Here is a 25,646-nt window from a genome sequence, read left to right on the forward strand (position 1 = left end):
GTATGCACAGATAAGACTCTGTCTACCCTGGGCAGCTTTCCTGATCCATGGCAGTCTGGCTTACAAGCAATACTAGGCTTCTATTGTCTCTTTCTGTATATTTGTAAGTAATAAATCTACTTCATATAACTCATTATGTATAGGTGTTCTATCTCATCAAACAAAAGCAAGTTGGGAACCAGTGCAGAGTGAACCTGCTTCACATTTAAAATCAAAGCTACCACAATATTTTGCTACTTATTAGTCCAGCCTTAAGACTTCATCATTTGATGTGTCAGTATGATCACATACATAACTGAATTTTATAATCTCTATAGTTTGACTAATATGTTTCAAAATAATTAAATTTATTTGTAATCCTAAGTATTTTATTTTATAAATGTATAAAAATTACAGTGAGCACACAGGAAACAAAGGCAAAAATAGGCCAATGAGGCCTCATCAAACTTAAAAGTTTTCATTTGTCAAAGGATATCACGAACAGAGTAAAAAGAGAGCCCATGAAATGGGAGAAAATATTTGTAAATCACATAGCTGATAAGAGGTTAATATCTAGCATATATAAAGAACTCCTACAATTCAAGAACAAAAGTTCAAGTAACCCAATTAAAAGTAGGTTAAAAACTTGAATAAACATTTCTCCAAAGATGATATGCAAAGTCCAGCAAACATGAAAAGATGCTCAGTATCACTAATCATCAGAGAAATTCATTTTTCTGTGAGATATCACCACACATCCATTGGGATAGAAACCATAAAAAACAAACAAAACCAGAAAGTAACAAATGTGTTAGCAGGGATATGGACAAGTTGAAACCCTTGTGCATTGTTGGTTGGATTGTAAAATGGTGCAACCTTTATGGAGAACAATACTGACTTCCTTCAAAAAATTACAAATACCAATATCATACGATAATCAGCGATCACACTTCTGGGTATTTACCCCCCAAAAAGTGAGGTTCTCAAAGAGATCTTTGCATATGCATGTTCATAGCAACACTATTTACAGTGTAGATATAGAAAGCATAATAGTTGTTACCAGGGGCTGGGAACAGGGGGAAAGGAACTTTGTTGTTTAATCCATACAGAGTTTCAATTCTGCATGATAAAAACATTTTGGAGATCTTAACACTGCTAAACTATACCCTTAAAAGTGGAAAATTGTATGATATGTATGTTTTACTTCAGTAAAAATCATATACTGAGAACAAGCCTGTAAGCTTCACTGGATTTTCCCAGTCTTTGGTGTGAAAAGGGTTACAAATCCCTACACTAGAGGAATATTGGACAAGCCTGATTTGCCCCTTCATACTGATTCTTTCAGAACAAGTTTATTAATTTTTAATCTTCTGAGATGAATCATCATACAATTCCTCAGTTTATGAAAGTATCTCTGCACAGCCTAGCATTTTGAAAGGAAAATAAAATAATAAATAATGTTCCTACCCAACACTTACCTGAATTTAGTTGAGACTGCCATGTGTACATGTTTGAAAAAGATTTGGGAATAATCAGCAAGAAAACCCTCTCTCTCCTTCCTCAAAAATTATCTACAACTCCTAGTATTTTCTTCATAATTTCCAGATTTACATAAAAATTATGAAAATCTAGTTAACTAACATTTAAAGGAGAATAAGATTTTATCTTATAGACAGTAAGTGCCAGATATGGAGATAAATGATCTGATTATCTTACTAGAATTGAATTTTTGCGGCTGAGTTTTTGAATAAACCAAGACTTATAATATTCCTGTACCCTATAAAGCACATTGACTACTGATTCTTTCCTGCTTCTGAAAAAGGCACAAATTGAGAGGGAAGTTTATATGTTCCATCTCAGATACAAGCAATAACTTTCCATATAAGGGAGACTGATGGTAATTATCTCCACATCCCTATAGTACTATTATTAATGATAATGGTGACTCAAATTGGAAGCCCTTTGAATATAAGTAAGTGGTTGTAAAAACTGAAATTTCAACCTGATGAATTCACATGTAATCACTTAAACTTACAGAACTTTCCAAAAGGATGGAACTGGCAATTGCAGTGAATTTATTCAATTGGATTTGGCCTTTTGATTTTATGTTTGAGAGCTAAGTTTGTATAGAAGTGTTCATTAAAAGAAAAAGTTACAGAATCATATACTTGAGACATTTTTGGAAAAATAATATATAAGCATAAGTTGTCTTTTGCCTATTTATTAAAGCCATTCTAGTGTTTGAGAAGTGGTGTTTCTTGTTTTCATGTGCATTTTCATAGTGGATAGTGATGTTGGGCATTTTTTATATGATTATTAGCCATATATAATTCTTCTTTGAAGAAAGAGCTATTCAAATCCACTATACTTTTTGATTTATTTTCTTTTACTTTTTTTTAATTGGGGATTTTCTATTCATGTTATGATTTGAAATCATTCAGGACTTTGTTTCTTTTGATGCTTATAATTCTTTAACCATTTCAGAACTGACTGATGCATTTATAATGCTACAACAGAATCTTATTAGGTGACTGTATTGTGTATAGGGTGGTCATAACAAAGTACCACAGACTGAGTAGTTTAAACAGCGGGAATTTATTGTCACAGTTCCAGAGGCTGCAAGTCTGAGATGAAGGTGTAGGGAGGGTTGGTTTCTTCTGAGGCCTCCCTTCTTGGCTTATAGGTGGCCATCTTGTCCCTGTGATTTATTTTGTTAGTGATTGCTCTAGGAACAACAATATGAACTTCAAATTATAGCATTCAATTTAAGAATAATAGTAGCTTTAATTCCTTAAACTATGGAGAATTTGCTTCAATATAGCTCCATTTCATCTTCCTCAACTTTCGGCTATGATTGTCACACACAGGTATATCTCTGAGATATTGAGGCTTTGGTTGGACACCACTGCAATAAAGCTCTTATCACAATAAAGCATGTCACACCAAGTTTTTTGTTTCTTAGTGCATATCAAAGTTATTTTTACATTATAATGTATTCTATTAACTATGCAAGCATTATGTCTGAAACAATCAATGTACATATCATAATTGAAAAATATTTTATTGCTAAAAAATCTCTTTGTGCAGACACACAAAGTAAGCACATGCTGTTGGAAAATGGTGTTGATAGACTTGTTCTACACAAGTTTGCCATAAACTTTCAACTTGTGAAAAAAACAAAACACAATATCTTTAAAACACAACAAAACAAAGCACAATATGAGTTATGCCTGTGCATTACATCTATATATGTTATAAACTTATTTTTAAAATAATTATTGTATACAATTTTATTATTTATAAAGAACTTAAAAGAAGTATATGGACTTTTATATTTACCTAAATATTTGCATTTTTGGTGCTTTCTCTGTATTTGCATATACTTGTATTATTACCTGGTGATATTTCCTTTCAGCCTAAAGTTCCCACTTTAATATTTCTGGTAAACAGCTCTGCCAGTGATAAATTATTTCTTTTTTCCTTATCTGAAAATGTCTTTATTCAATGTCTCTGGACTCAATTATATGATTTTTCTCCCCTCAGCTTTATTAATAAATAAAAATTGTATATATTTACCATACAAGTATTCTAAATCCATTGTGGTCAGTTCAACAATGTTCACAGTATCTTCCCCAAGAGCAGATTTCACCTTAAGAAACCACTTTCTTTGCTTATCCATAAGAAACAACTCTTCATTCGTTCAACTTTTATCATGAAATTGCAGCAATTCAGTCACATCTAGTTCTCTTGCTTTTTCTCCTACATTTAGTACCCTTTAAGCCAGTTCTCTTCATCATCCCAGCTCTCACTCATCCTTTCCAATCTCTGTTAAGTATTTCTCCACTCTTAACCTCCATGTGATCAACTAGATTTTAGTTCCCACATACTAGTGAGTACTTGCCATATTTGTATTTTTGTGCCTTGTTTATTTTACTAACGATAATGATCTCCAGATCCATCCGTGTTGCTGCAAATGACGATTTCATTTTTTTATGGCTGAAAAGTATTCCACTGTATATATACACCACATTTTATTCATCCATCCATTGACAAACATATAGGTTGATGCTATATCTTTGCTGTTGTGAATAGTGCAGCAATAAACATGTGAGTGCTGGTGTCCTTTGATATATTGCTTTATTTTCCTTTGGGTAGATATCCAATAGTGGGATTACTGGATTGAACAATAATTTTATCTTTAGGTTTTTTGATAAATCTCCATGCTGTGTTCCACAGTGGCTGTACAAGTTTATATTTATGTGAACAGTGTATAAGCGTTTCTCTTTTTCCACATCCACACCAACATCTGTTATTGTTTTGCCTTTTTACAATAGTTATTCTGACTGGATTAATAACACATCTCATTATAATTTTGATTTGTGTTTCTTCATTGATGTTGAAAATTTTCTCATATACCTGCTGTCCATTTGTATGTATTCTTTTGAGAAATACCATTTCATGTCTTGTCTCCAATTTTTAATGAGATTATTTATATTTTCCTGTTGAGTTGTTTGAATTCCTCATACATTCTGGATATTAGTCTCCCATTGGATGAATAGTTTGCAAATATTTCTTCCATTCAATAGGCTGTCACTTTACTCTGTTGATTGTTTCCTTTGCTGTGCAGAAGGTTTTTGGCTTAAAATAGTTCCATTTGTCTATTTTGTTTTTGTTGCCTATGATTTTGGGGTCTGGGTCATAAATTCTTTCCTAGACCAAGGTCCATGATAGTTTGCACTAGGTTTTTTCTTCTAGTAGTTTTATAGTTTTTGGTCTTAAATGTAAGTTGTTTATCAATTTTGAATTGATTTTTGTGTACGGTAAGAGATAGGGGTCCAGTTTCATTCTTCTCCATGTGACTATCTAATTTTCTCATCACTGTTTATTAAAGAAGGGTTTATTTCTCCAATGTAAGTTTTTGTCAGCTTTGTCAAGATCAGTTGAGTGTAAATATATGACTTTATTTCTGGGTTCTTTATTCTTTTTAATTGGTCTGTGCATCTTTTTACCAATACCATACTATGTTGATTACTATAGCTTTGTAATATATTATGAAGTCAGATAACGTGATGCCAGTTTTGATCTTTTTCTTAATATTGTTTTGGTTATTGGGGTCTTTTTGCTTCCATATAAATTTTAGAATTTTTTGTAATTCTGTGAAAAATTATGGTATTTTGATGGGGATTTTATTGAATCTGTAGATTGCTTTGGGCAGTATGGTCATCTTAATTATATTGATACTTCTTATCTATGAGCATGGGATATTTTTCTATTTGTGTCATCTTCAATTTCATTCATCCGTTTTTGCAGTTTTCTTTGTGGAGATCTTTCACTTTCTTGGTTAAATTTATTTCTGGGTATTTTACTTTAGTGTAGTTGTTGTAAATGGTACTGTCATCTTGATTTCTTTCTTAGCTATATTATTTATGTACAGAAATGCTACTGATTTTTGTAACTAGATTTTGAATCCTGAAACTTTACTGAAGTCGTTGATTAGGTTCAGGAGTCTTTTGGCAGAAACTTCAGGATTTTCTAGGTACAAAATTATATCATCAGTGAATAAAGATAATTGAACTTCCTTTCCTATTTTTCCAATTTGTATGCATTTTATTTATTGCTCTTGCCAATTGTTTTGGCTAGGACTTAGTACTATGATGAATGGGAAAGGTGAAAGTTTGCATCTTTGTCTTGTTCCAGTTTTTAGCTGGAATGTTTTCATCTTTTTCTGTTCAGTATAATGTTGGTTGTGGGTTTGTTGTATATGACCTTTACTATTTTGAGGCATATCCCTTCTGTGTCAAGTTTGTTGAGAGTTTTTGTTTTGAAAGGATGTCAAATTTTATTACATTATTTCTTTGTGTTTATTGAGATAATTATGTGGCTTTTGGCCTTCATTCTGTTGATGAGATATATCATATTTGTTGATTTGCATATATTGCACCATTCTTGCATCCTTGGTATAAATTCCACTTGATCATGGTGTATTATCTTTTTGATGTGTTGTTGGACTCCATTTGATAGTATTTTGTTGATTTTTGTGTTAATGTTCATCAGGGATATTGGCCTATATTTTTCTTTTGTGTGTGTCCTTGTCTAGTTTTGGTATCAGGATGATACTGGCCTCAAAAACCATGACAGGAAGAAATACTTTTTATTCAGTTTTTGGAACAGTTTCAGGAGGATTGGTATACCAGTTCTTTGTACATTTGGGTAGAATTCAGCTGTGAATCCACTTGCTCATGGGTCGTTTTTGTTGCAAGACTTTCTATTACTGATTCAACCTTGCTACTTATTTTTGGCTTCTTCAGGTTTTCTATTTCTTTCTGATTCAATCTTGGTAGGTTGTATGTTTCCAGAAATTTACCCATTTCCTCTAGGTTTTTCAGTTTGTCAGCATATAGTTGTTCACAAAAGTCTCTGATGATCCTTTGTATGTCTGTGGCATCATTTGTAATATCTTCTTTTCATTTCTGATTTTGTTTATTTGGGTCTTCTGTCTTCATTTCTTGGTAGTCTAGCTATTGGTTCATCTCCCATCAGTTATCTTAACTAATTCATCAGATAATTTGCTGTAGCTTCTACATCAGCACTTGCTGTTTCATCTTGGGATTTTATGCTGTAGATACAACTGCTTTCCATGAACCTCACTGATCCACCTTTGCCAGCTTCACATTTTTCTTCCACATCTTCCTAACTTCTCTGAGCCTTCATAGAATTGAAGCAACTTAGTGCCTTGCTCTGGATTAGGCTTGGCTGAATGGAATGTTCTGGATGGTTTCCAGAATCATTTATCCAGACCACTAAAGCATTTTTTACTATCAGTAATAAGACTATTTTATTTCCTTATTATTAGTGTGTTCACCGATAGAGCCCTTTTAATTTACTTCAAAAAATTTTCTTTCTATTCACAATTTGGCTAACTCTTTGGTATGTGATGCCTAAATGTTGTCCTTCCCAGCCTTCCTCGCCAAGCTTAATCATGTTTTCTTCACATGCTTTCTTCACTCAGTGTAATCATTTTTAGCTTTTAATTTAAAGTGAGAGACATGTGACTCTTGTTTTCACTTGAACACTTAGGAGCCATTGTAGGATTATTAATTGGCTTAAATTTAATATTGTATTTTTCTCAGGAAATAGGGAGAATTGAAGAGAGAAAGACAGATAAAGACACAACCAGGTGATGGAGCAGTCAGAACACATATAACATTTATTAATTAATTCACTACCTTACATGGCATGGTTTGTGGTGCCTTAAAACAATTAAATAGTAACATCAAAGATCACTGCTCACAGATTACTGTAACAGATATGATAATAACAAAAATGTTTGAAATATGGTGAGAATTACTAAAATGTGACAGAGACATGAAGTGAGCACATGCTGTTGGAACAATGGAGCTGATGGTCTTGTTATACACAGAATTGTCACAAACCTTCAATATGTAAAACACACAATATCTGAGAAGTGCAATAAAGCAAAGCACAATAAAATGGGGAATACCTGTACAATGCTATGTTTTGATCTATGTATACACTGTAAAATGGTTAACACAATCAAGTGAATGGATGTATCTATCACTCTACATGTATCTTTGTGTGTGTGTATTGTGGGAACATTTAAGATCTAATTTGTTAGCAAATTTCAAATATACAATTCAGTGTTATTAACTATGGTCACCATTGCTATACATTAGATCTCCAGAACTTATTCATCCTGCCTAACTGAAACTTTGTGCTCTTTGACTCACATCTCAGCAATACTCCCACTCCCAGCCCCTGGCAACCACCACTCTATTCTCTGCTTTTGTAAATTCAACTTTTTTAGATTCCACATATAAGTGAGATCATAACATATTTGTCTTTCTGTGACTGTCTTATTTCACTTAGCCTAATGTTCTTCAAGTTCATCCACCTTGTGACAAATAGTAGTATTTATTTCTTTTTAACACTAATAATATTCCAGTGTGTGTGTGTATGTGTATGTGTCTCACATTTTCTTTATCCATTTATTCCTTGATGGGCACTTAGATTGATTTCATACCTTGGCTATTATGAATAACGCTACAATAAACATGTGAGTGCAGGTAACTCTTTGAGGTCCTGACTTCAGTTCTTTTAATATATATCCACAAGTGGTATTGCTGGAATTTACATTCATCCTATTCTTATTATATGAAGGACCTCCATATTGTTTTCCATAATGACTATACTAATTTACATCCTCACCAACAGTATGCAAAGATTCCCTTTAGTCCATATTCTTTCCAATACTTGTTACCTTTTGTCTTTTTGAGAGTAGCCGTTTTAACAGGTGTGAGATTATATCTCGTTGTGGTTTTGATTTGCATTCCTTTGATGCTTAGTGATAGTGAACATTCTTTAGTATTCCTGTTGTCCATTTGTATGTTTTCTTTTGAGAAATGTCTATGTACACCTTTTTCTAATTTTTAATCAGGGTATTTTTTTTTTTGCTATTGAGTTTCTTATATATTTTGGAAACTAAACTATCAGATGTTCAAATCAAGTTACATTCCTCTGTTTATGAAGCTATTGATTTTTACAGACAGCCTGTTCTAGTTAAAGTACCATGCCATAGATCTGGGTAGAAAATAGCAGTTCACCCAGGTAATAACATGTCAGACTGCTCCTGCTCTTACTCAATGTTGAGTCATTTTAAATAAGTAATACTTCCCAATTTGTTGAATACCTTTGGTTGATTTTAATAGCCCTGAAAAGATTCCTAAAATGATAACATTTTACAATAAGTTTTTATTGGACCTAGATTATAAATAGTGATGAATATTTATCTTGGAATTTTTAAGGAATATGTGCAATATTCCCTAATAAATAAATGAAATTTATTACCCATGTAAAACAAAGTATGTTAATACCATAACCACAAAAGTTATACATGGATAGTTCTATTGTCAATAGTGCCAACATTTACAATGCAGTCTTAACGTAGTAAGATTTGCTGTTTATTCTAGCAATGGTGATTGTATTCTCTCACTAAAGTATTTAAGCAAAGGGGGCATTAATCCCTGGTGTCTACCCTTGATGTGTCACTTCTCAGAGGAAAAACGTTTTACCTGTAGTACAGAGATATGGATGGCTAACTTGAAGAGTTAAGAAACAAAAGTGGAAATCTTTCCTCTAACCAAGCCCAAGGTTATTTGACAGTGGCACATGTTAGAGAAAGAAAGGAACTCACTAAAAAAATGCCAATCTATTTTCAAAAACATAAAGTGTGAGTTATTTTGGTGAAGCTTATTGTGCAAAAATGCTTAGTAACATGAATACTTAGTAGTACATTCTTTCAAATGTATTGTGCTATTAAATGTAACAGATTAGAATCATAATTTCTACATAACATTAAAAAGCAGCTGTTGTATTTATTTTCCGACACCAAATTCTTCTCATAAATATACAACATTTATTTAAAATCTGGTATACTTACTCAGAAACTGTTCATTGCACCATTAATTTTCAAACTATAACCTGAAGGTTATCAGATTTTTCATCATTACTATTGTGAATGTTATGTTTAGAAAAGTCGCATGTCAAAAATATTTTATAAATGTAGATGGTGCCCAAAGATTTTAAGAAATATATTGTGACCAAAATTTTAGCATCTCTGTCATTACCTACCATCAATTTCAAGTAACAATTGAACTAATATATAAAATTAAAAGAAACATGTTACTGAGATATGACTACAACAAAAGATTTCATTTTAGAAGGGAAGACAAGTGTAAGTAACTGCTGGACAGCAGACTGTGTTCTCTCCTACAGAAATTATCTTTAACAGGTGGGAATTGCTCAGTGATCAAGCACAGCTCATCAAAATGTTAATAACATGACAAGAGGTAAATGTATTCATGAGAATATTAAAAATGTGAAACAATAGCATTTTTACATGCAGCTCAATGTTTACATCCAAATAAGCCTAATCATATGTTAAATATTGTAAAATATATTTAAGTAATAGATATATGAACATTAAAAAGTGAGATAATGTCAGAAATTGGCAAATAACCTGATCATATAGAGATAATAAACCAGGGTAAGTCTGAGAGATATTTAGAAAGCAGTCCATAGTCCAATCTGATTTCTACTTTTTGGAGGCTCAGTTTGTCAACTTTCTGGGTATTGACAGAAAAGGGGGAGAGTAGAATTCAGGAGGGCAGACAGAAGACCACTGGACTAGACAACAGGCAATCTTGCTTAAATTTAGGATTGCAGGTGGAGAAAAATGGTTGGATTGAAAATATGACTTTGAATATAGAACTTTCTGATAGGTTAAATACTGGGATTTATACCACAGTATTAGAAAAAGAAAGGTGTCATGATAGAATCATAGGTTTTTGGTTTTAGCCACAGGGTCAACTGATGGTATCAGTTGCTGAAACAGAAAATACCAAAGAACAAGACAGATTGGGGAGAAAAGATTCTAAGCCAACTGTTAGTGGCATGTTAACTTTGAGATGCTTCTTGACATCTAAACTGAAATTTTGAAGGTTTTTAAAGATAGTTAGGCTGAATTTACAGAAGAGGTATGTGCACCATCAGCTTTATATTTAAAGACATGGAGATATGGGGTCATATTGAGAGTGAATGTGTTTAGAGAAAAGCAAAGGACTGAGTCTTCTGTCACATATTTAACCACTCACCAATTGGTTAAAAAATGAGAAGTCACCAAAGGAGAGTGGGGAAGACATTAAAAGGATACATCATTGACCTTACCTCAAGGAACGTACATTTATAAAGACAGATATGTGCTTTCATTACTATAATGGGGGAAGCTTTGATAAGTGTATCAGTTGCTGTATGTATAAATAAAGTCCTACTACATTTCAGATAAGAAACATGGCCAGGCAAGATGGCTTATGTCTTTAATCTCAGCTGTTTGGGAAGCCAAGTGGAAAGATTGCTTGAGGCCAGGAGTTCAAGACCAACCTGGATAATGTAAGAAGACCTCGTCTCTATAAAAAATTAAAAATTGGCTGAGCATGGTGGCACATGCCTGTAGTTCTAACCACTCTTGAGGCTGATGTGAGAGGATTATTGGAGCCCAGGAGTTTGAGACTGCAGTGAGCTAGGATTACACTATTACACTCCAGCCTGGTCAACAAAGGAAGACCTTGTCTTTGAAACAACAACCAAAAGAAAACAAAAAGAAAAAAGAAAAGAAAGATAACTTTTAGGCAGGGATAATTTAGAGTTTTCTTGAAATTTCTGCTCTGCTTCTTCTCTTCTTTCAAATAATCTGTTCTTTCAAGAGTTTCAAATGAATGAACAATGTGTCAATGAATGCACCACTGTCCCTCATAATCTCCTTTCTCCATTCAATGCTGGATGGTGCAGTGTAGTTACTTCTTACACATGGTCAAATCAGTCATTGACTAGACAGTGTCCTGTGGTTTTGCATGGAAATAAATTGAGATTTATCCCAGTTAACTGAATCAATAAGTAAAACAGAATGATGAAGAAAAGTAGAGTACAGTCGATTTATGTTAATTTCAGATGCTGGTGTTATATTGTATGGTCTCTTCCTGTTGTTTTCAGTAATACCCTGATTCCTACCCTTTCTCTGTCTGGCTTTTCATTTATTTCTGTAATTCTGTGACATCTGTCTGCCTCTCTATGTCTTCTTTTTTTCTTTGGAGAATTTGATGTTCTATGCCCCTTATATCAAAATGAATCCAGTCATGAACAGGGATCAAAGCAAGTCTTATTAAAGAGAAAACAATTGAGCTGGGACACAAAGATTGAATAAAATTTTAGCTTGCAAATATCATGCTGTGTAAATGAGTTCATCCTATCTCATGATGACAATTTGAATTTACACAGTTTTTTAAACTCTGGCAGAAGATTAGATAATCATTTAAGTCAGATGGTCATATTCTAGTTTAGAATAAACCCTCTCTTTTCAGTCGGGTAAGTTAGACTTAAAATGTCAGAATGTATTTTGTTCCTAATCAAGTGTTTCAATCATTACCCCTCATCACGTCTACCACTATGTAAATCAACTCATCTCTTTACTTGCATAAGTTCTTTATATGCAAATTATTATTTCATTCATTAAAAAGTTACTTTCACTTATTCTCTGTGTACAATAGTTTGCACTGTAACCCATGTTGATCTACCCTTATTTCTGCAAATACTATATGCATGTATTTCTCTTTCAGACACTCGGCCCTGATGCTTTTTTTGTGAGGGCTTTTCCTTTTTCCTCTTGGATTTCCACTAAAAGTAGTTGTAACATTGACTGTGTTCTTATTCCTCTGTGCCATTCCACATCATCAATCCGTGTTTCTCTTTCCTTATTAATATTTAAACTTCATATCCTGTGTCTCTCACCCTTTTTTTTTTTTTTTTTTTTTGAGACAGAGTTTCGCTCTGTCACCCAGGCTGGAGTGCAGTGGCGTGATCTCGGCTCACTGCAAGCTCCGCCTCCCGGGTTCATGCCATTCTCCTGCCTCAGCCTCCCGAGTAGCTGGGACTACAGGTGCCCGCCACCACGCCAAGCTAATTTTTTGTATATTTAGTAGAGATGGGTTTCACCATGTTGGCCAGGATGGTCTCGATCTCTTTACCTCGTGATTCACCCGCCTCGGCCTCCCAAAGTGCTGGGATTACAGGCGTGAGCCACCACGCCCCGCCATCTCTCACCCTTTTTAATTATCGTAGCCATCTACTATTGTCTTGTATGACCCTGTCAAGATGTATACATAGAGATGTATAAGCTTTTTCTTTACATGATCCTGGAAATCATCTTCGGTGATGTTAACATCTATATCAAGGATTCTTCTGAGTCTTTGATTATAAGATTCTTCAAACTTTTTAAGAGGACAGAATTTTATCTCCCTTCTAGATCATCATTATCTTAACTATTACATGGCAAATTGTGTCTCTTTCCTCTTTTTTCTACAATATTAATGCTATCTGTCATCTCCCTTATTCCAACTCCCTCCTATACACTAAACTTGCTTTTGTTTCAAAATGATTCACTAATCAATCATATTCTCTGACTTTGCCAGTTATTTTAGGCAACTTATTCATTGTGTTTTTTCCTAAGTTGCATAGACATTAAAATATAAATGCTAAGTAAAAGAGTATGAAAAAAAACTCTATGGAGAAAAATTGTCCTAATACAACCAAACCTATGCTTTTTCAATGCAGACAGCCCAGTCCCAAAAAAGCACCTGAAGCTTGTTTTAGTTTTCATTCTTCTTATGGTAAGAATACCTCAAAGACAATGAAAAAGATCCTCAAAGCAATGAATCCAAGGAAAGAATTTCATAAAGTTGCAAGATATTGTATCCTCTGTATGTAACACATCAAAAGTACAAGGTTTTTCTAGGGATAAACTGGAGCTGTCTTCAGAGGCCTCTTTATCAGGGATGCCTGAATATCTCACATGTACAAAGTAGAATACCAAAGGGACACTTGGTTTTGTGCCTGTAGCAGGTATTTTTTATCTAGCTATACTTTATTCCAAACTCCATATATTCACTCATCTCTCTATCTAGACTTCTGTTGACCAATGGAACTTCTTGTGAGGAAAGATACATTTTACATCTTCGTTGTGCTATGTTATCCACCAGGCCAATATGGCTATTAAAAGAGGCTAGTGGACTGAACAATTGGATTTTTAGATTCATTTAATTTAAACTCAAATAGCCACATGTAGCTAGCAGTTGCAGTACACAGAAAAGCTCTAGAGGTATTCACTTGAAATTTTTTGACATAAACTGAGAACTTTAAAAACACGGTCAGTGCTACCAAATGTTATTTTCTCTGCCAAGCATCTTACAACTTCACCTATATATGTGGCCTTTTGTATTTTCTAACAAGTTCAGAACTTGTCTATCAGAAATAAGCCAAAATAATCGACAATAAAAAAAATCAACTTTACCTTGACTCAGCTTTTAGTAGTAATCTTTCTTTTTTTTAACTTTTAAGTTCCAGTGTACAAGTGCAGGTTTGTTACACAGGTAAACTTGAGTCATGGGGATTTGTTGCACAGATTACTTCATCACTCGTGTAATAATCCTAGTATTCATTAGTTATTTTTCCTAATCCTCTCCCTCTTCCCACCCTTCACCTTCTTAAAGTCTACAGCACATGTTGCTCTCCTTTGTGTGTTCATGTGTTCTCATCATTTAGCCCCGACTTATAAGCAGGAAAATGTGGTATTTGGTTTTCTGTTCCTGTGTTAGTTTGCTAAGGGTAATGACTTCCAGCTCCATCTATGTCTCTGCAAAAGACATAATATTGGCCGGGCATGGTGGCTCACGCCTGTAATCCCAGCACTTTGGGAGGCCGAGGTGGGCAGATCACCTGAGGTCGGGAATTAGACACCAGCCTGGCCAATGTGGAGAAACCCCATCTCTACTGAAAATACAAAAATTAGCCGGGTGTGGTAGCACATGCCTGTGGTCCCAGCTGCTCAGGAGGCTTGAGGCAGGAGACTCACTTGAACCCGGGAGGCAGAGGTTGCAGTGAGCCAATATCACGCTGCTGTACTCCAGCCTGGGCGACACAGCGAGACTCCATATCAAAAAAAAAAAAAAAACAAAGACATAATATCATTCTTTTTATGGCTGCATAGTATTGCATGGTGTATATATTCTTATTTTCTGGTGCAACCTTTAAAAAAATTGACTTCTGACCAAATCTTTATCACACTGCAATATGGATTTTACACTAGTGTATTTCTTATGTCTAAAATATCTTAGAATGTATTTGTATAATATATTGGCAATCTAGATGAATGAGATATTGTTTATGCCTCTGAAAAGGAAAGTGGTGATCTAAAGAGACAAGACAAATTTCCTTGGGACTCCATATGTTTGATTTTGAGTACCTGATATTATTACTACTCTGTGAAATCTAAGTCTGTCTTAAATTCTGTGTCAGCTTCTGAGCATTGAACTTTTATTCTTTTTTTTACATATCTTAAAGTTACTTTGAAAGATGTTAGATATAAAATACTTACAGTTATGACTTCATTTTGTATTATTAATACTGATTATACATAATAAAAAGGGTGGTATAGAACTTAATATTTTACTTCAAATTCATAATATCATGAAATCTTGAATACATGTGAGATAAATGATTTGTTATTTAGTTCTTAATGTATGTTTATGTGATTACAATAGGCATCCCAACCCATCAATGATAGGCTTAGTAAAGAAAATGTGATATATATACACCATGGAATACTATGCAGCCATAAAAAGGAATGAGATCATGTTCTTTGCAGGGATATGGATGAAGCTGGAAGACATCATCCTCAGCAAGCTAACACAGAAACAGAAAACCAAACACCACGTGTTCTCACTCATAAGTGGGAGTTGAACATTGAGAACACATGGACATAGAGGGGAACAACACACCAGGGCCTGTGGGGGTTGGGTGGTGAGGGGAGGGGAACTTATGGGATGGGTCAATAGATGCAGCAAACCACCATGGCGTGCATATACCTGTGTAACAAACCTGCACGTTCTGCGCATGTATCCTGGTTTTTAATTTTAGAAGAAATCAAGAAAAAAAATAAAAACTAAAATTAAAAAAAGAAAAATCCCAAAATTTAAAATGAACCTTGAATAGATAAAGCAAAGCATTCCAAGCCAAGAAAACTGCATAAGGACATGAGGATAGGAGAAGTGTGTATACATATATATATACACTCACACACACACAAACACACACATATATAGTGGAAGTTTATGCATATGAGCAGAATGAAAATTTAGACTTGAAAGATACCTTTGCAAATTTAAGACCCAATTAGTACTTTTTAAATTTCCTAAGCTTAATATGAAAATTAATAATTATGTTTTTCTATATGGGATAAGAGGCAGATTTTAAATGAGAAGGACTGGGTCTGAGTCTTGGGTATGTTTTGATTAGTTGTATCATTTCCATTTCCTCATTAGCAAAATATAAACTATAATAATGTCTGGCAAACCCATGTTGCATTATTGCTGCCAGGATCATATTGCTGTGGGGTTGAGGTACAACGTACATCTCCTCCTCTTTGGTGATTTCACTGATAATGTGGATTTAAACATCTTTAACAAACTGGGAAAGGTAGTAAAGCTTTATATAGATGGTACTTCTCCCCGTACCTCCTAAAATGTTTTCTTGATACTTTTTGGAGAGAGAAATTGGGCCTGATGCTGAAGGAGAACTCTTCTGTCCACTGCAAGTCCACTTACATGAGCAGCTAAATAAATGAATGGGATTCTGAAGGACTGTATGTGGAGAGCAAGGTTAACCATTTGTGCTTGCTGCATGAGGTGAGAAAATGCGAAAAGAGAATGAGGAAATTTCAGCTGGGTCCCTCCCTTTAATTTAGGGTTTCTTCCCACTCTCCAGTGAATAAGCAACGATGAGTGTTAGGCTGTTTATTCAGATACCCTCACGCCACTGCAGAAGCGAGTAGAGGAAGAATACAAGGAAAAAAGTGTCTCCCAGCCTGTGGAAAGAGGATGGCTATTTCATCCACTAAAGGTATTAAGCAGAAATGTGAGTGAAAGATTCTGTCATTCCCAAAAATGACTAAAATAATATAAAATTCTAGAAATTTAAAATTACTGAGATCTTAATTTATTATCTCATAATACATAAGCAAAAATAATATAATCATAGAACTTATAGCAAGAAGAAATATATATCATATCATAGAAAGAAGAAATTGGTCCTACCTCTTTTTTTTTTTTTTTTTTTTGAGAAGGAGTTTCACTCTTGTTGCTCAGGCTGGAGTGCAATGGCGCAATCTCGGCTCACTGTAACCTCCACCTCATGGGTTCAAGCAATTCTCCTGTCTCAGCGTCCCGAGTAACTGGGATTACAGACATGCACCACCACACCCGGCTAATTTTTGTATTTTTAGTAGAGATGGGGTTTCTCCATGTTGGACAGGCTGGTCTCAAACTCCTGACCTCAGGTGATCCACCTGCCTCGGCCTCCCAAAGTGCTGGGATTGCAGGCATGAGCCACCGAGCCCAGCTTGTACTTACCTCTTAAAAGAAGGGCTAGAAAATATCTTGAAAAATAGGCAAAGTTATATTGCAGGGACATACATGTGAAAATCCGAATGGAAAGCACTGTCTTGTCAGCATACCAGTTCAAGTATTCACTTTTCCCCAACATATATGGATGACATTTGCTAAGTCAACCAGTGCTCTGAGTTTTAATTTTTTGTTAGTAAAATGAGAGTATTTTACATTACTATATCTGAGTATCAATCTCTCTCTCTTTGCTTCCATTGGAAATCCCTAAGTTTGCAGCTGTTTCAACAGCTGAAAATGTCTCCAAGTACCCTGAATAATGACAAATATTTGATTAAGCGGTAGAGATCACACTGCATATTTATCTTTCTTCTATTTCCGCAATAAGAACATGTTTGTTAATGACTATGGGCAGTCTTGAAGAGAAAAGAAGTTAATAGAAGGAAAACTGCAGAAACATGCCAGAGAGAAAAAATGTAGACAAAATTGATACCACTGGTGACAGTGGGAAAGGGAGTATGGCCTAAAACTTTCTTTATATCACCAGTTGACAGCACTGCTTTATGCAACCCACTAAGACTTTAGAAATGACTAAATTAATATCTAGTTAGAGTTAATTTTGATAAATTCTAGGTATTACCTATTTTATGTAGCATAAGAAGAGTTTATATAGCAGGTTCTCAAATATCTCCAAGTAATTGGGTTTTCTCCCACATCCCAAAGGTGTACACTTTAAGTGAATTGGTATGTCTACATCATCCCAGGAGGAGTGAATGTCTGTGTGTGTGTACCTGAGATAAGATGATGTCTTGTCCAATGCTGGTTTCCACCTTGTGCCCTGAGCTGTTGGGAGAGGCTCCTGCGACCTGTGACCCTGAAGCAGAATAAGTGGACTGAATAAAGGAATGATGCGTATAAATGATTGTAAAATAAAAATTTGTAAAGTAGATTATAATTACACAAGTGCACTTTAATAAACAAGGTGGAATCAAAGCACACAGTGAACGCACCATGTTTGTGATTATTTTTGAATTGAGTGCTGGATGGAGATGCTCCTGATAATTTTCATTTTCCAAACATTTATTCTTGGTTTTAACCCACCACCACTAAAACCACAGTCACTGACTGATTCACTGAACACTGGGTAAATAATTATCATACTTGTTTGTATTAATCTTTCTTATATATATATATAGCTCACATTTATTTTACACTTTATATTAGGAGGGCTGGAGGTATTTATTTAGAAGTTTGGAGATGTTTTTGTGACAACAAACATGCTGTAGGATCTTAACTCTTGTTTATATCTATTAACCTATGGTACAATTGGTTTTCTTACACATCGTTTTGCTTAAATTTGTGGTTTCCAAAAACTATGGACGATGTTATGCGAGGACTTAATGCATTTCAACACTGCCTGGGTATAGATGTTGAAGTTGAGTGAGTGGGGATTATAGAAAACTAATACAAAAACTATAAATTCAGTGTTCAACATAAATTTGGCTGGGTGAGGTGGCTCATGCCTGTAATCCCAGTACGTGGGAGGCCGAGGCAAGAGAATCGCTTTGAGCTCAGGAGTTCAAAAACAGCCTGGCCAAAGTGCCAAAACTCTGTTTATTAATTCATTTTCCCACTGCTATAAAGCACTGCCTGAGACTGGGTTATTTATAAAGGAAAGAGGTTTAATTGACTCACAGTTCAGCATGGGTCAGGAGGCTCAGGAAACTTACAATCATGGCAGAAGGCTAAGGGGAAACAAGGCACCTTCTTTATAAGGCAGCAGGAAGGAGACTAGCCGAGCAAAGGGAGAAGAGCCCCTTATAAAACCATCAGAGTTCATGAGAACTCACTTATTATCACAAGGCCAGCATAAGGACAGCATACAGGAAACTGTCCCCATGATTCAGTTACCTTCACCTGGTCTCTCCCTTGACATGTGGGGATTATGGGGATTACAATTCAAGATGAGATTTGCGTGGGGACGTAAAGTCTTATCATATCACCCTGTCTCTACAAAAATTCAAAAAGTAGCCAGATGTGGTGACAAGAGCCTGTGGTCCCAACTACTAGAGAGGCTGAGGCTAGAGAATCACTTGAGCCCAGGAAGTGGAGGTTACAGTAACCTTAGGTCACACCACTGCACTCCAGCCTTGGTGACAGAGTGAGACCCTGTCTCAAAACAAACAAACAAAACCCACACACACATGAAATCACCAGAAAAATTGGATGTTATGTAACTTTTAATTCACTTGCTAATTTTTTCTATAATGTATTTGTTATAAGTGATACAAAATCATCAAAAACATGTTTGCCAGATTTGACTTCCTGGTCATTTTATTGTAAATATTCAGAAACGATTTCCCTGTTTACTAAATCTCATGCAATCATTCAACTTCTTAAAATAACAAATCTTGAACACATGCAATATTGTAAACATTTGGTATGTTACTAAGGACTTATCAAATCTTAAGGCATACAGAGAACAGATTTCATTAGTGGCAGAGAAAGAAATACAAAAAAATTAAGCAAAACTTGACAATGTAGGAAACCCAGATAATATCCTTTATCATCACTAGTCCAAAAACATCTGAATCTGAAGATTCCATTGAAAATCTTTTATTAATTAGATGTGGAAAATCAGTTAAATGTGTAAAAAATAAAGAATTTTCAATAAGACCAGTTTATGTTGCTAAACCTATTCTTGTAGGTGAGTTTAGTTCTCCTCGGAGAAATGAGCTGAGGGCCCAAAATTGTAACTCAGTGAATTACAAAATTGTTATTGTTTCCCAAAGTATTATAGTTTCACATTTTCACGTTAAAATTTCTTCTTTTTGAAGATATTTGTTCCCTGTTACCTCTTAAATGTTCTATTTATATCACTCTCTTTTTAAAATTAATCACAGTTCAAAATCCTGCACCTGGTTAGATTTATTCAATTAACAAAATACCTTATTTTAAAGTGAGCAAATTAGCTCAGAGTCTCTTTTCCAATCTTTTCACTGATTGATTTGTTAAATCTAATTACAGAGTTGTGCCTTTATTTGGCATGACCATATAAAAGCTTATCCTGGACCCCTTAACAAACATATTCAATATATAATGACCATAAAATATCACCCATTTCCTGTGACCTTACCTTTTGCATGGCAGATCAGGAGGCAGACATAAATAATATGAGACTAGAGTCCTCATTAAGTAAAGGTACAGTTCTGTTTATTCAGTTTTCATATGGGTTTATACAAAGTCATGTGAAAATGAGAACCGCCAAATCTTACTTTCATTGGTTTTGCATACAGCATTTCTGTTCATAAATAGAAGGAGCTCCTGATTTTAAAAATACTCCATGTAATTAGCAGGCATTTAATCACACTCATACATAAAGTATGAGTAAGGAATTGAATAAACACCAAAGTTAGGTGTAGTGGGTTGAGATCCCACTTGTCAGCTATAACAGAGAAAGCCTATGATATTTCATAAGTTTGCATGTACTGTCTGGTGTTTTTGGGGCCAGGAATCCTTGGTCATTACAGGGGTCTGCTGCTTGAAGAATTACCTGATAGACTGGTGAGCAAAACAGACATATAATATTATAAACCATAGCTACATTAGCAGCTTCTAAGATTTCCTTTAAAGGTAAATGGGTTTTGCATCTCCGATATAAACTCCCTAGAGAACTACCATATTTAAATTTTTATATTTTATAAAATGCTATGTCAAATTTCAATTTAACAAGATTTTTAATACACCTCACGGAATATTTTACTCTAGTGACGCCAATAAATAGCAATACGACCCTTTGAATGAAGAAGACTGTTTTTCCACTTAAGCTTTCTACTTGTATCTACTTTTTTCATTTTATATTATTTGATCATAAAATTATTTAATAACCCTCAATAGCCTTCAAGGGAAAGTGGAAACTTCTAAATTAGTGCTTATGGTGAATAGTGATGTGACATTTCCCCAATTCTAGTTTAAATTCTACTATTCACTCTCTTTCTTTGGAATAAGTGTACCACTTACTCCAAATAAATCAATCAAGTTATGCTTACTTGAATGTAAATGGTCATTTACATTTACCCGTAGCTTAACTTCTATCATAAGTAGCTACTCAGGACATGCCTGGCATATAAAATGTACCAAATTAAAATCAGTTTTTGGGGTGCCGTGGCCCATGCCTGAAATCCTAGCATTTTGGAAGGCCAAGGCAGGAGAATCACTTGAGCCCAGGGGTTAGAGACCAGCCTGGGCAACATAATGAGATCTCACCTCTATGAAAAAATTTCCAAAAACTTCACCTGGTGTGCTGATGAACTTCCATAGTCCCAGCTACTGAAGAGGCTGAGGTAGGAGAATTGCTTGAGGCGTGGAGGTCCAGGCTGCAGTGAGGTGTGATCACGCCACCGCACTTAAGCCTGGGTGACATAGTGAGACTTTGTCTCAAAAAATAAAATAGTTTTTGATTCAAGACACTTTTAAATCATTTTGGAAGATGCATAGATATATGTATTATAATTATACATATATAGAAAGAGATTGATACACCTACAGAGATATGCAGATTAAATAATGTTAATGTATTATTTCCCTATTGCTTTTCTGTTGTCTGTAACAAATTACTGTGAGAGCCGTGGTTTTTCTCCCGCCCCTCGTGACCAGTGAACATGGCTTTTGCATGCAGTGAACATGACCAGGTTCCCAAGCTGGGAGGGGACAGGGCATGAATTTGTCAAGTTCCCTGAGTGCCTGTGGATGTGGGGGTGGAAACAGAACCATGTTGTTCTGATTTGCACCTTTGATGGCTGAGCCAAATGCTCATTCTATTTAGTATTACAGCCGTAATCTGTAGCAAAACGCTTAGCATTATAAAGGAAAGATCAGAACCATTTCAAACCATGAGAGAAGACAAGACACCAAAGGAAGTCTGGGGTTCTTGACCAATGGAGCTCACCCTTGGGGCCTTCCAGCAAAAGATGCCTTCAGTTGCCCCGGGGCTTTACTCCCGACCCATGTGGTAGTTAGACCTCCCCGAAAGGAAACAGAGCATGAAAGAGAGAGGTGGCAGGGTCTTGGAAAAGAGACAGATCCGACAGTTTTCCATTTCAACTCACCCTTCTGATGAATATCCCAGATGGAGCCCCCAGATGAAATGGCCACGGCAACGGCCACGACGGGCGGGGGAAAAACCACAGCTGCCACTGGGAGCCTGCACGGTTGGCTGGCTGGCGCTTGCTGCCCGGTGTGCCAGTGGAACTCTACTCTGGCCAAGGAATTCAGCTCTGTCTGAACAGAGGGGAAGCATACAATGATTAAGGAGACACATTTGCGCTGAGCAAGGGGTTCTTCCCCCAGGACCTTCCCCTTTTGTTCCTTAAACTGTTTTCTCTTGTTTTCCTTTTCCAAGAGGTTTTCTTCCCCAGCACGCTGCTTCTGTTAGGGAAGTTAATGGAGAAGCGACCCCTACTGGCTGATAACTGCAAATTTAGCGGGGCTCATTTGAGATAGTTGATTCATGCAGCCACTTGAAATACTTTTGAGTCCCAAACTTGATTACAAGCTTCAGGCTGAGGCCCTAGAAAGGAAAACCAGATCTGAGGGATCCAAAGCCAGGCAATAGGCACAATGTAAATGGACAGGACCAATTCCTGCTGACCAAAGCCCCCACCCCACGGAAACAGGCCATGCTCTGTGGCGTAAATGAGACCTAGGAAACTCAAAGGTTGTCAACAGCAGGGAAAGATGGAGGCGAAGGTAAGGTCAGAAAATTCCTGTTCTCTACGCTTTCCCTGTTTTATGGGTGCATGCTGCATTGGCACCCATGAGCAGTACCTGCCAAGGTCACCTGGACACAGGGATAAAAAGATGGAAGAGAAAGGGAGGGCACTTGTTTTCTCTCTCCACACCCCGAGGTTCGCTGAAAGAAGGAAGGGAAGTGAGGGACGGCTCTATAGCCTATCTTTCGGAATGAGTAACCAGCTCTCTTCACCACCCCCAGCTTGTACTCTTCTGGAATGTATTCTAAACCATTGGAACTGCTTTGACCCTCAGAATCTGGAGGAAAAAAAATGTCTCATAGTCCTCTGTACAAAGATTTGGCCAAATTATGATTTATAGCAAGGACTGGCTTGGCCTCAGGAAGGAACCATTTATTTCAATACCATCCTGCAATTGGACCTTTTCTGTAAACATGAGGACTAGTGGTCTGAGGACCCATATGTGCAGGCTTTCTATATCTTGCAGGGCAATCCTGATCTTTGCCAACAGTGTAGGATTGATCCAGCCCTCCTGTTTGCCACTTCGGGAGAGGCTACCAGGGGCAATCTCAAGCAACTAAAGAAAGAAACCCCAGAGGTTCCCCCAGAAGAGGAGCCAGCTCCCTCCAACCCTGCTCCTTCAGGTCCTCCCCAACTTCCCTATCCAGCTTCAGCCTCTCACATTTCCCCTCCAAGAAATTCTCACCCTAGACAAGCCCCAGTCTTACTCTTGCCTCTGCAACAAGTGCCTGGTGAATTTGGCCCCAGTAAGGTCCAGACCCCTTCTCTTTATAGGACTTAAAGCAAATTAAGGGGGCTATTGACAAGTTTGTAGAGGACCCTCACAGATATATAGAGGCTTTCCAGAATTTCACCCAAAGATCTGAACTCTCCTGGAGAGATATTATGTTACTTGTGAATCAGACTCTGATGCATACTGAGAAGCAAGCCACTTTGCAAGTGACAGGGAGATTTGGGGAGGAGCTTTGTATAACATATAGCATCAGGGAAGACGGTGAACATTATCTAACTGGTAGAGAAGCAGTACCAGTGAATGACCCTGGATGGGATCCCAATGATGAGATGAGAGACTGGAATAGGAGACACTTCTAGGTATGCATAATCGGGGTCTTAAGACCAGGATCAAGCCTCCCAATTATGCTAAATTGTCCATGATCGATCAGGGATTTGATGAAAATCCCACTGCCTTCTTGGAATGGCTAAGAGAAGGCTTGGTAATGCACACCTCTCTGTCTCCTGATTCCATCGAGGGACAACTAATCTTAAAGAATAAGTTTATTATTCAGGCAGCCCCTGATATCAGGAGGAAGTTGAGGGAACAGGCCCTGGGACCAGATAGTACTTTAGAGAACCTTCTGAAAGTGGTCACCTCGGTCTTTTATAGTAGGTCACTGGAATGGATTCTTGAATTTATTATACCCAAGTAAAGGCCTGGGAAATGGATGGAGCCACTTCTGTCAACCCAGAAGAGTACCCAAAGTACCAACGTGAAGAGATCAGGGACCTCGAGCTAAAAATCACAAAAGATAAGTGTTAATAATTAACCTTCCATGGACATCCTCTATATAGTCTTGGCTATGCTTGCTGTTCTTACCTTTGTTCTGTTCTGTATCACGGGGCACGACAGTGTTTTCAGAATAATTAATATATTTCACTTCTTATTTCTGTAATTGTTGGCACTAAATTCTTTCCTTGTCCAAGACGCATGTTTAACCTATGCATACGTAACTTTATAAAAATTTGTTTTGTTTCTTCTCTCACACCGAGAGGCTATCGAACTCCAAACGGTCAGGTAACCGGAGCCTCGGACAATGGCTCCCCTTTGCCAAGAACCCTTAGGTAGAACTCTGGAAGGAATCTGACTTCCCTTTTCCCCAAAACAACGTTCCCTGTCAACATGAAGTAGCTAAGACCGGTCGTTGTCTATATTCTAACAGCAGTTAGGTGTGCCTCTTCAGAGGGAGGAAATGATACGGGAGGAGGGCAGGGAAGTGCTGGGTAGAGAAGGTAAGAGTCTCTGGTGAGAGCGCCACCCTCGGGCCTGTGCCTGCGGACCTAAGTGAAGACAGGCACTCCTGTTTTCACGTCTGAATGTTGCATTTTCCAAGACCACTCTGGCCTGCCAAGCGCCCCATACTGTGCCGGTATAAACCCGAGACCTTAGCAGGCATACACACAAGTGACTGAACACCAAGAGGAGCAGAGGAACAGAGCATCAGGGAATGGCAAACAGTGGCAGAGGAAGGAGAGAAGAAGTGTTTGAAGGTCGAGGGAAGTTCAGCCATTCTTGAGGAAGATTATCTCCCCGCAACTCCACCTTCCCACTCCAGATCCCTAAAGCCACCTCCACTACTTAATAAAGTCTCCACATTCATCACCTTTCAAACAGTTCATGTGAGCTGAGTCGTCCAGGATGCTGGACAAAAATCTGGGCGGGAGGTGGTTAATACTTACCCACCCGCGGGCAGCAAGGCTTGAAACACACACCTACTTGGGCTTTGGCATCTATCCATCTGCATACTCCCCCTTCCCTCAGGGTTTGAGATTCAGGGCAACCCAACAGGTGAGCCACACCCCTGTTGCACGTCCTGTGAGGGGAATCTGGGAACTCTACCAGTTCATTATGCATATTTTAAATCAAATAGCTCAGCTATTGAATTAAATTAAATGACACATGTTTTGGGTTGTATTTATTAGTGTTAAATTTTAATTTTTTGATCTCAAGGACAATTTGTTATATATTTTTTAATATATTGATTATGGAAATGCTGAATTAGCTGATTTATTTTCAATGTTAATTAATATGATCGATGTCAAACTATCTACTGATGGTCTCCGCCATTTTTGGAAGACAAATCTAACCCTCTAAAAC

General features: G+C 36.6%; 1 long non-coding RNA gene across 1 annotated transcript; it reads left to right on the forward strand.

The window, feature by feature from the left end:
- The first annotated feature begins 7 nt into the window (after nucleotides 1-7).
- LINC00308 (long intergenic non-protein coding RNA 308) lies at nucleotides 8-17,919 on the forward strand. Its single transcript, NR_038400.1, has 6 exons — nucleotides 8-103; nucleotides 10,837-10,944; nucleotides 13,162-13,217; nucleotides 16,151-16,289; nucleotides 16,369-16,503; nucleotides 17,727-17,919. It is a non-coding gene; the product is annotated as a long intergenic non-protein coding RNA 308 (long non-coding RNA).
- The last annotated feature ends 7,727 nt before the right edge of the window (nucleotides 17,920-25,646 follow it).

Source organism: Homo sapiens, chromosome 21 (assembly GCF_000001405.40).
Source record: "Homo sapiens chromosome 21, GRCh38.p14 Primary Assembly".
Lineage (NCBI taxonomy): Eukaryota > Metazoa > Chordata > Mammalia > Primates > Hominidae > Homo > Homo sapiens.